Raw genomic sequence first — 7,811 nt, forward strand, 5'->3', positions numbered from 1 at the left:
ACTTAGTATCTGCCAAGTCCCTTTTGACATGCAAAGTAACATCCACAGATTCTGGGGATTATGACAGTAAGATGTGAACATCTTTGTGTGTGTGTGTGGGGGGAGGGGGGTATCATACAGGCTACTATATGGAGAATATCATAAATTAAGGGATTCTTTAGACCAGACACTTTGGGGTAAATGTGTCCAGTCCACTAAAAACTTCATTTATCCAACCATAGAAAATTGACTTAATTTTGATTTTATATAAAAGAAAAGCATGTCTGTTATCTTCATTTGGATAAATATGAATCATAGTATTACAGAAACAGTTAGAGTAGGTGTATGAATGGGTTTTGGGGTCAGACTTTGGGGAATCAAATCCTAGCCCTCCCACTTATCAGCTGAGTGACTTTGGCAAGTTATTCAGACCAGCTGTACCTTAGTTTCTTCATCCATACAATGGAGAATATGATAATATTACTTCATGGGCTTGCTTTAAGATTTAAATAAAGTAATACATGCATGGTGCTTAGAAAAGTGTCTGGAATGTAGTAAATGTTAGTGAATATTTATCTTTGCAAAATTAGCAAAGGAAATTGTTAAAAGAGAGTAAGTTAGCCTAATGCCATATAAAGATTTGAAAAGATGTTTCTATAGGAAAGCTTACCCAGAAAATCTGCAGCTTTGTTTCTTTGTAGACTATTGTTTTCAGGTTACTGAGCTCTAAGATTTTGAGTTAAGCAGCCTGTCCTGGTTCTAAAATGTTTGGGTATTCCTAAAGATTCTTAGTTTTACAACAGAGAGTGGGACTAGAGAACTTTATCTAATGCCATATTGTCACTTTAAATCCCTCTCATAACTCAACATAATAATCACTCTGATGGTTGACATTTACTGAGCACATGGTATGTGCTAGAAAATATTCTTAACATTTCATAGGAATTAAATCATTTGATTGTCACCTAAGCCCTAAGAAGTAGATAGTATACAATCTTCATTTTATACAAAAGGAAATAAGACCCAGAAAGCTGAAGCACCTTGTCCAATGCTGCACAAACTATTAAGAAGCAAGTCAGAGAGTCTAAGCCTTATCTCCTGATCTCAAGTACACACTGATGTTTCCACTAGGCAGGCTGTGAACATGGTGGTTGAGAGCAGTCCCTGAAGCCAGGCTGCTTTGGTTCAGTCTGGCTCCATAACATGTACAACATAGGTAGCTTAGGCAAATCACTTTACTTCCCTGTGCCTCATCTCTACACTGGTGATGCAGAAAGCGGGAACTGAGTGCTAATGTTTGCCTCATGGAGTCATTGTGGGGATCAATAAGACCCTATGCAACATTTTAGCACATTGCTTTGCCTCCAGCAAATGCTCAAGCAGAGCTTCAAAGTTGGAATTGGTTTCCTTGGTAATAGGCTCTGCCTTTTAAATGTCTTCAAGAATAACAGAAAATTAATTCTAGCTGTTATGCCCAATCGCCTTCCCTGATATTGGCTCATAAACTCATGTTTGGTCCTCCACAGCCTTTCCATGCATTTTCTTATTCACTCATTCATTCGTTCATTGTCTTATGTCTTCAATAAAACGTGTTGAGCCTCAGGCATGAGACAAATTCTGTCCCATAAATTCCTACAACTGAACATCTGATCCCTATAAAAACCTTCCACGCAAATGGCACTATTGTTTCCATTTTCTGATGAGAAAATTGAGATTCAGAGACTCTAGATGACAACGGTAGTAGATGTGGTCCCAGGAAACAGGATATCCTGTCACCCAGTGAACATTCACACCACCCTTTCTGCTGTTGAATTGTGGAATGAGCATAGACTAAGCAAGCATAAGGTATGGCTAGGTTTGCTTTAGGCATCTGCCAGCCATTGACCTTCAATGGTATATTCACTCTAAGTCTCAGTTTCCTCATCTGTTAAGATAAAAACAATTACAACTCCTTCTGTGGTTGTTGTGTGAATAACTCAATATATTTGCATGACTAGATGAGATTAGATGTCCAATAAATAGTTATTTCTGTGGTTACTATTTGTATTTATTTGTTAATTCCTTTGTAAATCTTAAAGTGTTATTTCTAATAAAGCACTAATATGCCCTTTGTATAGAAAGCTTCAGGGAAAACTTTTTGTATAGATTTTATTTTATTTTAATATAAATGATGAAAAGGTAGCCTGGAATATTTTACACATATGTTACAAAACCCCTGGGAATTTGCTGGAAAAAAAAGTCTTGAATCCAAAGCAGGTGGCTAGGCAGGACATATTAGTCTGTTTGAAGGGCTGGACTTCCCTCAAAAACTCACAAACTCAGGGAAACGTCCAAGGGAACTGTGAGAAAACAGTAATTAATGACTACAAACTCTGTGCTCCCAGTCCTCGTCTTCTGTGGAGAGCCATAAAGAGATCAATTCCACATTTTAAATTCTTCACCTAATTCGAAACCAACAGGAGCAAAGCCCCAATAGCACAGCGCTCCAGCTATAAGTCAAGAGTAGAAGACATTTTGTGTGCATTACCTCATCTTTTATCCACAAACAACTATTATGGGTTGAATTGTTTCTTCTAAAAATTCATATATTGAAGCTCAGTACCTCAGAATGTGACCTTATTTGGATACAGAATCCTTGTAGATGTAATTAGGTTAAGATTAGGGCATTAGGGTGGACGTTAATCCAATATGACTAGTGTCCTTTTAAAAAAGGGAAATTTGGACAGACATGCATACAGGGAGAACGTCATATGACAGTGAAGACAGAGATCCAGGTGATGCTTCTACAAGCCAAAGAATGCCAGAAATTGCCAGCAACCACCAAATGTAGGAGAAAAGCATAGAGCAGATTCTCCCTCATAGCCCATGAAGGAAGCAACCCTGATGACAATCTGACCTTAGACTTCCAGCTTCCAAAACTGTGAGACAATACATTTTCTTTATTTAAGCCACCGAGTTTATGATACTTTCTTATGACATTTCTAGCAAACTAATATAACAACCCAAAGAGTGAGATATTCCACACTTTTAAAAACTCATCATTAGAAAATCTGATTTTCTTGCCTAAGGAACCACAGCTAGTGATTGGCGAATTTAGTGGAACAGACTTATTCCAAAGTTCACGGTGTTGGGCTATGTAGGTTCCATTTTTCACTTTCTTTCTAATTTTTATGAAGAGAAAGGAAGCCCCTCATAATGATTTTGTACTGAGTAGCTGAACTTTCTCAGAAACCATGTCTGCTTTATGGGATGCTCATTTATGCCAACAAAGACTATTGGCTTGCCCAATGAGAAACAATGTAACACTTCAATAATAATGACAAATATTTAAATTGTATTTCACAGTACTTCCTGATGTTGGTTCAGGTTTTCACAGGAGCCCGTGTGAACAGACACAGGCATTGCTAATCTCAGATGAGGAACACAACTGAAAAGGCTGCGGGATTTGCCAAGTTCAAACAGTGAGCATGTGGCCACGCCAGAACTGGAACCAAGAGTTCCCAGTCCACTGTGTTGTTCTCCTGTCATAAACACAAGCCTTACTTGCTTCTTCTGCATCTGATACATCTGTTCCTTACCTGGAACACAGAAAAAGCCCTTGATAGTCACAGGATCCTATTCGAAAAAGCATGGCTTTAGGAGTTGAGCTGATATGCGTTCAATTCTCAGAATTTATCAGACCCTAAGTCTATTTCACTGTAAAGCAGATTGTTGTGAGTATTACTGATGTAAGCTATAAAGAGTGACCCACAGAAAATTCTGCTGAACTAGTTGTATTATTTTTTAAAATACCTGGCCTGATTCTACCTCCACCATTTATTAGGGGTGCCATTTTGAGCTTACTAAACCTTCCTTTGCTTGCTTGTTAATTAAGGTGGTCGTACAGCAATGAATGCAATAACACTTTCAAGATTTCCAGTTCTACAAATGCAAGGAATTCATTTTAAGGAACATGAAGATATATAAATAGTTACCGTAACATAGAAGGCATTAAGTAACTATTTGCTTGCTGAATAAGAATGGGCTATACCCCACACCACTCCCCAAATTCAAAAGAACCAGTCATAATGGATACAAAAAGATGTTACCCAGACAGTGTTTGCAAGTGTGAGAAAAGGGAGGGAGTAAGTCCACTTGCTCTTGAAAACTGGAAATCACAACCACTACACCTTGATCAAGAAGAGCATCTCATGCCTGAGGTTTAAGTTTACCTAAAATCCAAATGTTTCACTGAAAAAAAAAAAAAACCCTCTGGGCAATTCCTTTTAAGTTAACTGTGAATTTCATTTTAAATCCCTTCATCCCCAGGCTTAATATTATTACAAATAAAACATGTTTTAACCCATGTTCCTATAAAATATTTTTTAGTAACACATATATGGATTTGTCTCAGAGGAATTCTAATAAACATATTGAAATCTACGTCAAATCTTGGTTTGATGTCTGATAACTGTGAATGCAAGGAAAACCTATCTCAAAGTTTCCCTTTAGAAATCAACCTCAAATAACCACTCAGTGTTCAAAGTCAATTCCTATTAATGCTTGTACATATGGTATTAATTCCACATTAATTCTGTCAAAAGTGATATCATAGTTAGAAGTTCCAAATGATGACATCACTAAAACAACTTGCTTTTCATGAGTGTGGGACCAGTCAGTGCCAAAATCCAATTCAATCTATTCATCTGTCTATTCTGACAAGTTCAGTTTAATTAGTTCATGGCCTCATAACGAACAAGAGACTGGTTTTCTGTCCAATTTCCAGAGCCATTTCTATTCTCTTCAACTTAAGTGCCAAATGCTTACGCTGCTTTGCCCAATTTATACCTTTGCCTATAATTACTGGTCCCCAAGGTGTGATTGTCCTTTTTCATAAGAGTTTGTGCAGCTGCCAACATGAAGTTGTAAATAAATTGTAATACCGTTGCTATGAGGTGTAAAAATCCCACAGCTCATATCCAGAGCCTTGTATAATAAACTCAAGTAAACATTCCATTTCCTGCAAGTGATTGTGGTCTGTGACTAGATTTAGAAAACAGGGCAGTAAGTCATCTTTCTTTAATGAGTCGTTGAAAACAAAGTCGTATCCCATGAAACCAAAACCTGTCCTTGACAAAAACAAATAGCTTATTTGTAAAAGACCCTCCAAGGGGGGGTCAGGTTTTTCTGCAGTTTATGATCTGAGATTCATTTTTGCTATCACGAAGTGCTGAAACAATAGCAACCCCACTCTCCCAACAGCACCCACTGCCAATGAAGTGCGAGAGACTGGTTTTCTAACTAGAGAGGCAAGGAGCTATTGGAGGAAAAAATTAGAAAATCAAATGTAGAGAGATCAGGTTTGAGGACTTGGTCTTCTATTTACCAGCTATTTATAACCGCTGTGCCTCAGTATCTTCAGTTGTATCTTAGGGAGAATGATGCCTACCAAACAGCATTGGTGTGATCACAAAACAGGATAATTAAATATAAAGTACCCTGCAACAGTGCTTTCCAACAGTAGACAACACAGAAAATAGTCATTTCTCCCTCCTTTATCTTTGTGATAGACAGCAAATCTGCATTTTTTGGTTTCCACTGGACCAGTGCTGAGCCTACTGTGTGGAATGCGCTTCACTAAAGAGCAAGCCATATTTTTCTTGCGTCACTGTTCTTACAACCCTTAATAATGCTATCTTTTTAAATGGCCTCATCTATGAAAGGTGATTGAAACTTCTAAAATGATATCTTTACAGACTCCAGTAACTCTCTAATTTCATTAAGATCATTGGAATTTTTCTCATCTTATTTATTTTTATCGAAAGTATTCAATGATTATTTATTTATTTATTTGAGATGGAGTCTCACTCTGTCGCCCAGGCTGGAGTGCAGTGGCGTGATCTTGGCTCACTGCAAGCTCCGCCTCCCGGGTTCACGCCATTCTCCTGCCTCAGCCTCCCGAGTAGCTGGGACTACAGGCGCCCGCCACCACGCCCAGCTAATTTTTTGTATTTTTAGTAGAGATGGGGTTTCACCATGTTAGCCAGGGTGGTCTCGATCTCCTGACCTCGTGATCTGCCTGTCTCGGCCTCCCAAAGTGCTGGGATTACAGGCGCGAGCCACTGCACCCGGCCCCAATGATTACTTTCTTAAGTTGAATTTAAGAAAATTAGAAGCTTCATGTCAGACTTAGATACACCATGAGTTCAACTTCTCTTTTTCTTTGTAGGGACAAGTTCTCACTAGGTTGCCCAGGCTGCTCTTGACCTCCTGGCTTCAAGAAATCGTCCTACCTCAGCCTCCCAGAATGTTGGGGTTAGAGGGGTGAGCCACTGTGCCAGGCCTCAAATTTAATATAAAGCTGCACAATTTTACACTTGAACCAATTAGGTCAAGAGGTAATCATTGTGTGCCCAACAGCAGCCCAGTTCTTATTGTGGAAAATTAAATCAATCAAGACCAAAAATTCTTGCCTGTATGTGGCAAAGACCATTAATCCTACCAAATATACATGGTTTCTCCAGCATCTCCCAGCCTCCCTTGCAGTTAGCTTGGCGCCATTTGACTGGCTCTGGTCAATGGACCCTAATCAGAAATGATGTGTATTACTTTCAGTTAAAGGAAGTTGAGAGTCTACATGCTTCCTTCATCTCTCTCTTCTCCCGCTACGGAGAACCCGGAAAACATGTACCGGGTGATGTAATACCAGATGGAGTAGAGCAAGTTCACCTTCATAGAATTATGTGCCAGTAAGAGATTAAATATTGCAATATGATATTAATATTAAGGATGTGGGGGTTGTCTGCTACAAAGAGTCTTTTGTGTTCATGACCTATACCTTTCTATGAGACCACACTTCAGAGTTCGCTTTGCTTTGTGTTCTAAAAAGGTTTTCCCCAGATTTCTAGCCTTTGCCCATCCCTTGGTATAATTGGGGAAACATTCATGGTCCTCACTTGAACAGAGGTCCCTCCCACCTCCCCATTAGGTTGTGCTTGGGCTTCCAATGGGTAGTTCCCATGTATAATTGCCATGAAATATTCACCAGAAAAGTCATCATTTTGGTGACCATAGCTTCCTCAAATGAGCACCACTTTCACTTCTAGTGGGTCTTTCCATATCTACTGGGCATCATGTTTGCCCAAGGCCTTGATGTCTATATTAACTTCCTATGGCTGCTGTAAAAATATGACCATAAATTGGGTGACTTAAAACAATCAGAATTTATGTTCTCACAATTTTGGAGGGCAGAAGTCCAAAATCAAGGTGTCCTTGGGGCTGTGCTCCCTCTGGGGTTCCAGAGAAGAATCCTTCCTTGCCTTTTCAGCTCTGGTAGCTGCTAGAATTCCCCCACTTCCTTGCCTTCTATTTCTGTCCTCATCCTCACATTGCCTTCTCTTCTATATGTGTTTTTGTAAAAAAAAAAAAACTTCATCTGTGGATTTGGGGACAATTCTGATAATTCAGGATGATGTCTTGATTTCAAGATCCCTAATGTAGTTACATTTGCAAGAACCCTTTTTCCAAATAAGGCAACATTCACAGGTTCCAGGAATTAGAACTTAGACATATCTTTTTGGAGACTATTTTTAGGCGTGGTACAATGTCCTCTGCTAATGTAACAACCAGAATTCTGCTCGCATTTATGTTACCCTCCAACAGCAGGTTCTAAAGCAGAGTTGCCTTGTTCTCCAATGTCTCAGGGTTTTAGTTACAGATGGGATGAAAAGGTTCTTTTAGTTTCTTACTAGCAGCTTCCATTTCTCTAAGACTCAGACATAGGCCATGAACAGACTGATCTGCAGAACTTCATTAGACTGATTGCTATGCGTTTGTCGTCAAGCCAAAATTTT

At 39.0% G+C, this 7,811-nt stretch overlaps 1 annotated feature.

Moving 5' to 3' along the window:
* Positions 4,273-5,282: an enhancer, noted in NCBI's record as "VISTA enhancer hs259". NCBI's record gives its function as "enhancer in: limb[10/15]" and the evidence as "EXISTENCE:transgenic organism evidence [ECO:0001131][PMID:17130149]".

This window comes from Homo sapiens, chromosome 4, assembly GCF_000001405.40.
Source record: "Homo sapiens chromosome 4, GRCh38.p14 Primary Assembly".
In the NCBI taxonomy this organism is placed as follows: domain Eukaryota; kingdom Metazoa; phylum Chordata; class Mammalia; order Primates; family Hominidae; genus Homo; species Homo sapiens.